This window comes from Homo sapiens, chromosome X (assembly GCF_000001405.40).
Source record: "Homo sapiens chromosome X, GRCh38.p14 Primary Assembly".
NCBI lineage: Eukaryota > Metazoa > Chordata > Mammalia > Primates > Hominidae > Homo > Homo sapiens.
This window is the reverse complement of record NC_000023.11, coordinates 53,931,201-53,943,918: the sequence shown is the minus strand read 5'-3', so window position 1 is coordinate 53,943,918 and position 12,718 is coordinate 53,931,201. Positions and strand designations below refer to the sequence as shown.

Sequence of the window (12,718 nt, the reverse complement as noted above, 5' to 3'; positions counted from 1 at the left end):
TTCAGGATGAAAGAAAATATTAGGCCAGAGAAAAACCCACTTACCTTTTTTGGTGTGTAAAAACCTCTCAGATGAGAAGGACCAGATCCTTCCTTTGCTCTCATATGAAGCCCTGAGGGGGTGACTCAGCTGAGTACGCTCAAGTTCTCAGCCACCCACCAGTATTGGAATTTGGTTGATTAGAAATTTTTCTTGTCCTCTTTATGAAATAATATTATCTTAATCTTCACCCACAAATTTTTTTTTTGTCCTAAAGAGTGATCTTCACTAGAATCAAATTCATCTCCTAGCATTACATCTAAAAGTTCTTTAATGTGCGTAATGTGCTTAGGAGCCTTTGGAGGTGAATTCTCTGGTTATCTTGCAATCAATATCCCGTTAGCTCCTAATCCCATATCCTATAGCTTAGAGCACTGTTAAGCATCTGCTTTGTTAGTTGCTTCCATATATAATGTGTAATGTAATCTATCTGCCCAATAGCCCTGTTCAACAGGTGATATTTTCATCATTTTATAGGTGAAGAAAATGAAGCTCTCATTAACTGACTCAGGATAATACAGCCAGTAAATGGAGGAGACAACTCAAACTCATATCCTCTAACTTCAAATTTCATATTACTTTCTATTTAAATAAATGCTTATGTAGTTCAGTCATTACATCCTATTTAAATAGTGTTTAAATCTTTGGCAATCTTCTTTGACCAGAACTTCTGTCTCTTATGTATATCCCAATACAGTGTAAGCTGTAATTTGAAAAAGGGGGTTCTACTGTTTTATATAAATATAAATTAAGTAAAGCTGTGAAAATTACTCTTAGTGCCTTTTAAGGAGCTAAATTCTGTTTGGGATGATCAGAGATAACCTCAAAGAAGAGGTTTTGAAATTGGGGAGGGGCTTTGCAAGCTAAGCTTCTGGTAGGGGCCAGGGAGGCATTCTAAAAGAAGGGACTTCCTTCGTATAGCACACAAAGCCCTCTTAAAGTCCTCTTGATTTGGTCTCTAGTCATCTCCCTGACCTCCTTCCAGCCCCTCATGCACACCTTTTATACAGCCATAGTGCACTGCAATACTCATAGTCCCCTCAGTGAGTATATCAGATTGTCTCATGCTTTTGTGCCTTTACACAAGATGTTCCTTTTACCCATTGAGAATCATACCCTATCAGATCCCTTACCTAACAGCCCTTCATACTACCTACCACCACTTTATTTCAGAGGCCTTTTTCTATATGCTTCTACAACATTCGTGGTACTTACAATCATAAATGTATGTTTTGGTGTTTCTTATTAAACTATGAATACTTCAAGAGTGGGAATATATTTAATTTAACTTGGTATCCCCACTATGGTCAGAAAATGTGTTTAGTCAGTATTGGGGTGGGTGGGTGAGTGAATGAATGAATGAACGAAAGAAAGAAACAGATCTTTCTGTATTGGAGATTTCATGTTGGGGAATTAGTTAAAATAAGTAATGATTATAAGAATGGATTCTAGAGTCAGCCTGCTTGGATTTAAATTATGTAATAGTTCTACCATTTGGGCAAGTTAATTTCTCTTTGCCTCATTTCCTCATAGACTTCATTTTAGGATTAAATGAGGTAATGTACGTACAAGCTCTTTTAGAATGGCAGTTGTTATGGAGTAAGTACTATAGGCCTGTTAGCTTTTTTCATCATTATCATTATGGGTTGGCTAAGTGTAAACAGCCAGACTGTGGAAGATCATGAATGTCAGGCCAGGGAGTTTGAACTTGGGCGGGGATCTGCTAACAGCTTTTTGAGCAACGGGATTGGCAAGGTGAAAGTGGTTCTGTCATAAGATGGTCTAGTTGTCTGTGGGAGTATCTGGATAAATTATATGTGAAAGAGATTGGCAGCAAAGGTAGCAAAATTTAGGCTAGTGATCTAGATATGAAGAGGTAATTCTGGATTTAAGTGAGAGAAAAAGGGACAGAAATGCAGTTCCTGGTATGGTTAGAATAGCAGTTTGGCTGAGGGAAGAGATTCTGAAGCCAAATGGCTTGGATGTGAATCCCAGTTTGACCACTTACTGGTCCTGTAACCTTAGGGAAATGACTTAGCCTCTCTGTGCCACAGTTTCTTCATCCTTCAAATGGGATTATAATTCTTACTTCTTGGGTATTTACAAGTATTAAATGAGTAATTATAGAAGAGTGGTTGACATGTATTACTAATATTGTTATTATTGTACCCCAGAAATGCCCGTGGTAGCCACAGCCTGTGAGATCTTCCGAAGGCAGGATTAGGCTTGTGTTGCCAAGAGAAGGCAAAAAAATGTGATCACTGAGTTGGTTTGTGTGGCTGTGTAGCATTTCAGAAGGTGAAGTGATTTACATGCTCTCAGCACCACCTTTCCAGGTTCTCAGGGCTCCAGATGCCCACTATACAAGTGTCCACCATGCAGTGGATAGTAGATCCATAGGGCAGTGGATGGTTGAAATACAAGGTATTGGGAGAAGTGACACAACTCCTTATTTGTCATTCCCATCCCCAAAGTGAGGTTTTTAGACCCAGTGACCTGGAGGATTGTCAAGCCCACTGTTAAAAGAAAAAGACCAGCAAGAGGAAGTGAAGCCATTATAAGAGATGAAGATAGAATAATAATTAACCACTTGTCGAATATCTACTATGTGCTGTGTATTTTTATGTCATCACTTAATCTTTTCAAAAATCCTAAAAAGCAGATATTATTTTACCTGTTTTATAGATGAGGTAGCTGAGATTCAGAAAGGTTAGTCAGTTTGACCATAGTCATCCAATTTAGGGACACAAGCCTGGATTTGAACCAGATTTATCTCATTCCAAAACTAATAATCTTTCTAATCTTTCTACGCTCAGATTTTCCACTTTGAGAAGTTTGCAAGGTGTCTCTTCAGATAGACCTGGTTAGATAGTGGTCCCAACTACTTTTCAGCTGTGAGGCTTTGGGCTCAAGTTACTTAATATCCCTGCACTTCCATTTTCTCATATGTAAAATTAGGATTTTTTCTTCTTAGAGCTGTTATGAGGATTAAATGAGATAAAGTATATAAAGTGTCTCAGCTGCTGATGTAAATTTAGTTATTATCATTAGACGTGTCCAAGGTCTACCTCATTAGTGGCAACACTAGGACCAAAATCCTAGTCTCCAAATTCATTTACAGCTTTCTTGGCACTGTACTAATAAGTGACAGTGGTGACTTAAGGATGGATGGTAACAAAGAGATGATCTCAGGTATTGGAAGGCCTGTTATGTGCTGTGTGTACATCCAGGCTAGACTTGGTGCAGGTAAGGGAGAGGGTGGCAGGTTGCACAACCATATTGGACATTGTCTAGTTAGTTCCTTTCCTGGGAACTTGTCTTCTTCACTCCTTAATCTCTCCTCCTACTTGGCTTGTGTTTCAGGAGCTACAGAAGGCCCAAAAGAAGAAATATATCAAGAAGAAGCCTTTGCTGAAGGAGGTAGAACAGCCTCGCCCTCAAGACTCCAATCTCAGTCTGACAGTACCAGCCCCCACTGTGGCTGCCACACCACAACTTGTCACCTCCTCCTCACCCCTGCCTCCTCCTGAGCCTAAACAAGAGGCCCTGTCAGGAAGTCTCGCTGACCATGAGTACACCGCTCGTCCCAATGCCTTTGGCATGGCCCAGGCAAACCGCAGCACCACACCTATGGCCCCCGGTGTCTTCTTGACCCAGCGGCGCCCTTCAGTTGGCTCCCAGAGCAATCAGGCAGGACAAGGTACAACGGCCATATGGTTGTAGAACCGAAGGATCTTAGAGCCACCTGCCCTAAATCCTAAGTGCTCTAGTAGATGACAATACCAGGGAGGGACACTGAAGGCCAACCTAAGGTGCTTGGATTTGATCTTATGGGCCATGGAGAGATGTTGACTGATTTGAAGTACAGACAAGATCAGGTTTTAGTTTTGAAAGATCCTTCTGGTGGCCAGAAGGAGGTAGAGGGTGGGCTAGAGATGGGAACTCTAGGGAGGAGGCACATATACAAGTTCAGGCAGGCAGGAAGAGTACCTGGGGCTCTGCCAGAGGGAATGGAGAGGAAGGAGATGAACTGATCAAATATGGAGGCAGTCAAATAGGACATGGGAGGGGATTTAATGTGGGGAGACAGAGACAACAAAGAGTTAGAGGACTGAAGCCTTCCTTTCCCTCACTTTGGTCCTCAAAGCCCAGTCCCTAGAGTACGCAGCTCAAGGGCATGGAGGTTGGTGTGATGTTGAAGGCTGATGAAGATGAGAGTTTCTAATGAAGCAAGGCCCTAGGGATGGCAACTTCAGGGACACTGAGCTCTAATCACTAACCAGGCACTTGTCCAGTCCTGGTGGGTAGGATAAGAGGGTATGGAAGTACATTTACCTCCCTGCAGGATCTTGGAAGGAAAATGATTGGGACCAGAGTAATCAGTGGAGAAAAAGAACTAGACAAACTGTAATCAGGGAGTCTTGCTGCTACAGGAGGTCATAGGAGGAAGAGTCAAAGCATGTGGTGTTGGTTGGAAGTAGTTAAGGAGGGCTTCCTGCCCAATATGGTCTAAGGATGGAGAAACTTTGTGGGTAGAGAAACAGGAAGGGGAGGTGGCCTGAGGGCAGTTGGTGCCAGATTTGATGTTGAAGCCCTTGCCAAAGCCCTTGCTTACTTTTCCCTTCCCCCACAGGAAAGCGTCCCAAAAAGGGCCTGGCCACAGCAAAGCAGAGACTCGGCCGTATCCTGAAAATCCACAGAAATGGCAAACTACTTCTGTGAGCCCTCCTGTGTCCCACCCCTCACCCCTTTACCCCCATTGCCTTCTCCATTGTCAACTCTTGGGGCACTCCTGGATCCTATCTGCCCTGGACAAGGTGCTGAGGTGCATTGTCCTGCTTTCTTGGGACTTACCAAAGGCACGGACCCCTCCACCGACTCCTTCTAGTTCCCTTCCCCACTTTCACTAGAGCATCCTGCCTGCCTTCTCCACTGAGGAGCAGGTAAATGGGAGAGGTTTCCAGCTGACTAGAACCCTCTTTTCTACTCGTCCAAACCACTCCCGTCACCTGCCTTGTCTGTTCTTTATTCTTCATCCCCCGCTAGAGCTGGAAGGCAGGATGAGGAGAGGTATGAAGGAGCCTGAGCCATGAAGTGGGAAGCCCAGTGCTTGACACTTTCTGCAACTCTAGCCCTATATCCAGAAGCCTGCCCACCTCCACCCATTCTGTTTGCCCCATTTCCCCAGTCCAGTGGACATGCCCCACCTCCAGACTTGCTCATGGGAGAAGGCTGTGGTCTCTGCCCCCTCTTGCCAAATGCTTCATGGAAATGAAGAGGAAGGCCTAGAGCCTCCTTCCTGCCCCACTGTGGGCCATTTCCAGAAGTGGCCTAGAAATGCCAACTTCACTTACCTTTCAAAAGAAAGGTGATTCCTATCACTTGTCAAGGTAGGGAGAGGTCAGATGCCCAAGCCTTTGACCACGGTTTTGTAGCCTGTTGGAGGAAGCTACTTTTAGCTGGCTACACATGAGGCCACTTGTTTTAGGGTGAGCTCCAGGGATTTGCCTGGATTTTGAAATCATGTAGAACATTATCCACGTGGCTGTGGCTGTGGCTGTGGCTGGGCCCTGGCAGGTGGAAAACCATCTCCCAGAAACCTGAAAGCACCTGCCAATGACGCAGATAACCCTGGCCCTACAGCCTGCTTGCTCCGCCTATACCACAGAGCACAGCCTGGACATTATGGAGGGTGTGGCGGGACGGCCCACACCTGGGTCCTCCATCGGGAACTTTTCATGCTTCTTTCTCCACCTGAGGTCTTGGTCTGAAGAAGACCTCAGGACTCACATCTTCACTCCTGGGCCTTTGCACTTCCAGACGACAGGTCATCGTTCAAGCAGAATGCAGACAGGCCATTCACGAGCCCAAGTTGAAGAGAAGAGACGCCCATCCGTGAAGGAGCAGACCATCCATCCGATCCTCCCCTTCCCCTGTCCTTCCTTCGTGGATTGTCTCCATTGTCCAGACAGTGCCCCCACCTCCCACCGCCTTGCCTCACTGGCAATCTGGACTCGATGGAGAACATCCCCCCACCTCCATTTGGCACTACCCAAGTGGAGTGTACCCTTGCCCTTTCCACCTGTACCACCCACTCCAACCTCACCCCAGCTTGCCCAATGCTTCTGGGGAATTTAATAGCTACCATGCAGGCCACAGGGAATTTGTGAGGCTTCTTTTGTCATCTTTGTATCTCCAGTTTGTCTTTCTTTTCTCCATAGCCCTGCCTCTACTTTCCTTCCTTGGAATCAGGGGTTCCTTTAGCCCATTTGCTTTCTCTACCTTGGGGACCCCAGGGGCCAAGCAGTTCTCCATCTAGTCACACCAAAGGCAAAAAGCCTGGCTACCTCCCCCCTAGCACGTGAGTCCCTACTCCCCTCCCCTCTGTTTCTGCCCAGCTTTGCTTATTTTGGGGATTTCAAGGCAGCAGAGGGTAGTGAGGGGAGAGCAGGAGAAGCCTCTGTCCTGTATAGGCAACTGCCTGACTATGCGGTGACTGCTGTAACCAAGATCAGGTCCCCAGCCCTTTTGTCCATTAACACCCCTTCTTGATCTTTCAAAGGCAGCTAATTGCTAGCAAATCCCCCCGATTCCGGCCTTTTCCCTCTATTTCTTTGTTAGAAGTTTTCTGTGGAGCTGAAACCCAGCCTCTGTTTGACTGGGTTTCATTTAGCTTAGTTGGGTTCTTAGAGCCCCCTGTTTGTTGTTTTGTGTTGTTTCCAATGAAAAGCAAGTTTACCCTCAGAGTTATGCTTTTCCAAAGAGGCTGATGTCTTTGTTTTTGTTTTTTTTAATGTTTCAGGTTCTAAGTGAAGTGAGTTGGGGAGGGGTTGGGAGTGTTAGTAATCAAGGTTTAGAACACCATGAGATAGTTACCCCTGATCTCCAGTCCCTAGCTGGGGGCTGGACAGGGGGAAGGGAGAGAGGATTTCTATTCACCTTTAATATATTTTTACAAAAAAAGCAAACAATTTAAAAACAAGCCCACCGCTTCTGTACATGTCTAAATATATTTTTAGAAGTGGGTAGGATTGTGAATTTCTGATGCAGGGCCTTTTTATAAATAGGTTAGGGTAGCATCATTCAGACTTCTCTGTTGTTTTTGTCCCTGTCTTTTTCTTATGTTGTGTTACTAATGTAATTTATATTTTTTTTAGATCCTCCCTTTCCTATAGAGATAAAAGTGATTTATCTTGGCAATTGCTTTGCTTGGCATTCTTTTTTTTTGTGATGAGGGTGGTGGTGTGGTGCAGGGTCTGGGAGTGCTGCCTTCTCCTTGTACTCTTTGTCTCTCCCTCAGCAAGTTGTCAGGCATTTCCCTGGTGCTCAGCCTTATGCTTGAAGTGGGAAGGGTATTCCCACCCTCAGGAGGGACACGCTTCACACACCTGAAGTAGATCATCAGAAGCAGACTGAGCAGAAAAGAAAGGGTGCAATAATTCAAAGGGGCCTAACAAGTTCAATGGGAGGGCTTTCCAGAGACTGCTTTTTCAAGTGTGTCCTCTTTCTGTGAATGTGGGATTTTTTTTTTCTTTCCCTCTCTCTTCCATGCACTTGTTGTGCAATCTGGACTTGATTACTGTGCTTAGGGCCAGTACATGGGTTAGAAGAATATAATTATCAGAGCTTGTTTTCACGATTATCGCACTTGTTTTCTTGTGCCAGGCACTGCTCTTAATACTTTATTGATTCATTTCATCCTCACCAACACCCTCATCCTGCCAGCGAAGAAACAAAGTAACCTTCCTGTATCATACATGAAAATTCTGGGACCAACCTGGTTCCAGAATGTGTATTCTTACCACTCTGTTCTACCACTTCTCACTGATAAACACTACCATTATATTAAGTGCCTTTTGGGTGCCAGGCATTGGGCTAGGGATTTTACTTAGGGATATCTCATTTAATCCTCACTGAAAAACCCCATGAGGATATTCGTCCTATTTAACAGTTTAAGGAGACTGAAGTTTGCCAGTGGTCTGCAGCAGGATCTGCCTGATTCCAAAACTTATGTTCTTTGCCTTCACCATATTAGAAAATCTTCTGAGGCTCAAGCACCCAACAGATCTTTATTAAGCCTCTGTTATGTGCAAGATGCAGAATTGAGAGTTATCTCCTAAGGAGAGCTCCCAGGGTGATCTTGGGAGCCTCAGTTTCAAATTCACCACCACCCTGACTCTGTGGGTGAGCCAGGGCAGGCTGCTTACTGTCTGTGGGTCATCTATTAAAGTATTTTGAACCCAGTCAAGATTTACTTCCTCCTGGAGATTCTGCTTCTGTGGGTCTGGAGTGAGGCTGTCTGGTTTTGGCACCTACTGGTTAAATGACCTCCTCCAGTTCTCACAGTCTGTCTCAGGAGTAGGTGGGGTTTTGATAATGTTCATGTCTGAAGCATAGAGAACTGTATTTCCTGGTAGAAAGGAAACAGGAAAGAAGGGCTTTAAAGCCTTTGCAGGAATGATGGGCTGGGTTATTTTTGTCACCAATTCCCACCCCACCTTCCTCAGTCAAGGGACAAAGCACTTTTTCGTGCTTTGTTTTTACCAGCCTCAGGTTAGAGGATAAGCTAGAATCTTGGTCACCTTATTCCTCAGTCCAGGCAGGAGGTGCCAGCAGTTCAGAGGTTCCTGTCTCAAAATTGGGAGGGAAACGAGGCACCCAACTTCAGTCATCCCCCTTTCCAGTATGGAGTGGAAAAGTGCACAGGACTTGTGGCTAAAGAGCCCTCCTTCTCAATGACTAACCAAGTAATTTGGGAGAAACTGCTTGTCTGTGTCTTCAGTTTCTACATTTGCAAGATGGAATTAACTATGAAGCCCTCTAGAAGCTTGGTTGCCCCTAAACTTTCTGGATGCTGTTAATTCCCAAACCGAATCCTCTAGCCCTAACTTGTTCTGAGTGCAGATCCCCATTTCTGCTATCTCATGTTGTTTCTCCTGCCTCAACTACACAGGCCCCTTCATCAGGACTCCATACACACCAAGTTAACTGAAATGGCACTTGCCCTCCAGTAAGTTGAATGGAGGACAGGAGCATCGTATGATACAGCACATTGATAGAGATGAGCAGGGAATCCATCCTAGAGAAACAAGGAGATTGGGGAAGCCTTCCTATTGGGTGGTGCCTGAGCTGAAAGATGAAAAGCAATTAGTTGGTTTAGCTAAGAACAATGGGAGAGTAGTCCAAGCCGAAGCAGTAGCTTGAGTAAAAACAGGTTGGGGTGTGTGTGTGTGTGTGTATAGATATAGGTCAACAATATCGTAAACTGCAGCAGGGACTCACCTGGGGGAACATCAGCACAATCCCCAAGAGGGAATATGTAGTTTGAGGAGGCATATGATCATAATTGGTTAGTTTTTAGGCATAATATTTATTTTAAAATCCCAGGTTATGGAGGATATGTAATTTTGATGTTTGTCAAAAGACCTTACTTTATCCCAAGAATGGCAGAGAACCTTTAAACGGTTTTAAGCAGAAAATCACATGATCCAACTTGGCGTTTAAAAAGGATCCCTTTGGGCCGGGTGCGGTGGCTCACGCCTGTAATCCCAGCTCTCAGGGAGGCAGAGGCGGGAGGATAGCTTGAGCCCAGAAGTTCGAGACCTGCCTGGGCAATATAGCGAGACCCCGTTCTCCACAAAAAGGAAGAAAAAAAAAGACAAAATAAGTGTGAAAAGGATCCCTTTGGAGGTGGGTGAAGACGGGGAGAGACTGAAGTCAAGAAGGCTAGTTTGGAAGCTACTGAAGGAGAGATGGGGACGGCACCATCTCATCTAGTGTCCCATCGAATGCCACTTTCCTAAGGAAACCTTCACCCAACTGTCCAGTCAACTTGGACCTTTTCCTGGACTCCTACATCCCATAAAAGGCAGAAATCCCAGGCCATTTCCAGGGGGCAGACCATGAGGTCGGCCACTCAACCCAAGAGACAGAAGATGGACTCCTATATCCCCTTCAGCTTTTTAATTCTCAAAATAACCTCAGACCCTCTCCTTTTCCATGGGACCCCATCGTAATGCCAGCACTCACCAATGAATGTGTTAAGAGAGTTACAGTACTCATTTTGTATTTTCCTTGTCAGGAGTCCAGTAGCCTCCCTCACACTAAATTCTGTCATACACAACCTTTCAGGAGTATCTCCCCAGAGTTCTATATTCATCATCCCCTCCTGCTTAAGAACACTTCATGACTTGCAACTGCTTATTACACCCTCTGGCTCTCAAGGCTTTCCAGAACCTGGCCCAACCTGGAGACAATGGGATGTGGTGGAAAGAGGATGTGCCTGGGAGTTGAGAAGACCAGTGATTATATTACAGCTCTGCTTCCTATATGATCTTGAACTGGTTGCTTCATATTTCCTTGCCTGAGTTTTGCCATCTGTGAAATGAAGATACGATCTCCCTACTTCACAGGATTCTTGGGAGGAATTATATTAGCTAGTGCCTTTAAAGAAAATTCTTAGTTCTGTCTGGCTTTTACCTAATATATATATATATATATACGTATATATATATTTGTATATGAAAATTCAATGTGTGGCACTCAGGTGATCAGCAAACATAGTTTATTTTTTCCCAGTCAAAATTTGCCCAACACCTAGAATCTCGAAGTACAGAGAAAGTAAATCTTTAAGGAATTAGGGAGAGTATTCCAAACTGGGGCGGGAAATTGAGTTGGCTTCATGAGGGAGGTGGTGGTTGAGAAACATAGGGAGATGGCTGAGTCAATAGGGGTGGTGGGCCTTAAACTGTAGTAGAGATAGCAAGCAAATCTATGACACAAAGTTGTTGGAAGGTTCCAGAGTGCCTTCCATGCCAGTTCAATATAAATTGTTCAGTTCTACAGTCGTTTATTAAAGCCTGTTGTATCAGACCCTGTGCATACCATTGGAGAGCTTGATCTTCAAAGAGTATGTAGTTTAGTATACAGACATGGAAACCCACATACATCATAGTGGGTAAATACTATGTTACGAATAAGTTTGAGGTGCTATGGGAGCATGAAAGAAGGAGACCGAACCCAGTTTGAGTGGCCAGAAATGCTTCTGGGAAGATGTAATGCCTGGATTAAGTTTGAAGAGCACTCACCAGGCAAAGAGGGCAGAGGATGAGTTGGAAAAAAGCATTCCAAGCAAAAGGAACAGCATGAGCAAACTTAGAAAGTCATAAAGTAGCCTGGTGTGTGAGTGGAACTACAAGCCCTTGAGTTGAGCTGGAGTACAGGCTGCAGTAAGGTAGCAAGTGTCAGGGATGAAGCTGAAGAGGTTGGCAGGGACTGGGTCACGGAAGTCCAGTGTTTTGGAAGATTCTCTCTGGCGATCCTTGGGATGAGGAGAGACTGCAGTGGGCTAACTTGGAGGCCAGTGTGAAGTTGATTGCAAGATTCCAGTTAAGATGTAATGAGGTCTAGGGCCAGGTGCGGTGGCTCACGCCTGTAATCCCAGCACTTTGGGAGGCCGAGGTGGGCAGATCACCTGAGGTCGGGACTTAGAGACCAGTCTGAACAACATGGAGAAACCCTGTCTCTAATAAAAATACAAAAAATTAGCCGGGCGTGGTGGCGCATGCCTGTAATCCGAGCTACTCGGAAGGCTGAGGCAGGAGAATCGCTTAAACCCAGGAGGTGGAGGTTGCAGTGAGCTGAGATCATGCCATTGCACTCCAGCCTGGGCAACAAGAGCAAAACTCTTGTCTCAAAAAAAAAAAAAAAAAAAAAAAAAAAAAAAAAAGATGTAATGAGGTATAAACCAAGTCTGTGGCTATGAAGATACCAGAGACCAGAGATGTTAACCCACATCTCTTATTTTTTTTCCCTAACATTTTGTGATGACCATTTTCAGACATAAAAGTCAAAATAATTGTACTGTGAACACCCATATATCCACCACCCAGATTCTACAATTAGTATTTTACTACACTTGGCTTTATCACATATGCATACCCATGTATCGACGCTTTATGCATTTCAAAATTTTGGACATGTGTACACATTCCTTTAAACATTTCAGCATGCATGCCATTTACTAGAGTTCAATATTTGAATCTTTTTTAAGGTAAAATATACGATGAAATAAATGCACACATCTTAAGAGTATAATTTCACATGTTTTGACAAATGTATAGACCTGTGTAACCCACATCCCTATCAAGATACAGAACACTACCATAATCCCAGAAAGTTCCCACATGTCCCTTCCTGGTCAGTCATAGCCCTTTCTCCTTCCAGAGTTGGCCTTGAGTTTGAAAGGGTAGGATTTGGAATGTGTGAAAATAGACATTCCAGGTGGAGTCAACCTAGGTGGCTTCCTCTCCAGCAAAGGCATGGAGGCAGGTAACTAGGGAGGGACACACAAATGTTAGTAAACAAAGGGATGGATGCCCTTCACCCTTCCACCTCTCTCCCTACTAAGCCTCATCTTTTTTGGGTCAAAGCATGAAACAGTGAAGCAGAAAGGAGTTGAGTCAAGGGACTGTCAGGCCCTCAGGAGCTAACAGTCTTCAGGGGAGGAGGAGACAAGCACTGACAGTCACAATTCAGTGTAATGTTGAATGTTATATCGTACCAGGGTCAGGGCTATAACCAAGGGAAGGGTGGAAAGTTAGGGAAAACACCACAAAAGTGCCACAGAGGTTTGGTGTGTGTGTGTGTGGGGTGTGTGTGTATGTATATGTGTGTTTGT

At 44.6% G+C, this 12,718-nt stretch overlaps 1 protein-coding gene across 12 annotated transcripts in view; it reads left to right on the top strand.

The window, feature by feature from the left end:
- The window catches only part of PHF8 (PHD finger protein 8), a 112,257-nt gene extending 105,018 nt beyond the window's left edge, over positions 1-7,239 (top strand). For 6 of the 12 annotated variants that reach the window (XM_005261996.2, XM_011530778.2, NM_001441096.1 and 3 more), the window contains 3 exons: positions 3,403-3,739; positions 4,673-4,757; positions 5,860-7,239. In XM_005261996.2, the coding sequence (XP_005262053.1) occupies positions 3,403-3,739; positions 4,673-4,757; positions 5,860-5,938 (501 nt within the window). In that variant the 3' untranslated portion in view covers positions 5,939-7,239. Of the gene's footprint in view, positions 1-516; positions 1,305-3,402; positions 3,740-4,672 lie in introns of those variants that run through there. The other 6 variants (XM_047441934.1, NM_001184896.1, NM_015107.3 and 3 more) reach the window with 2 other exon arrangements.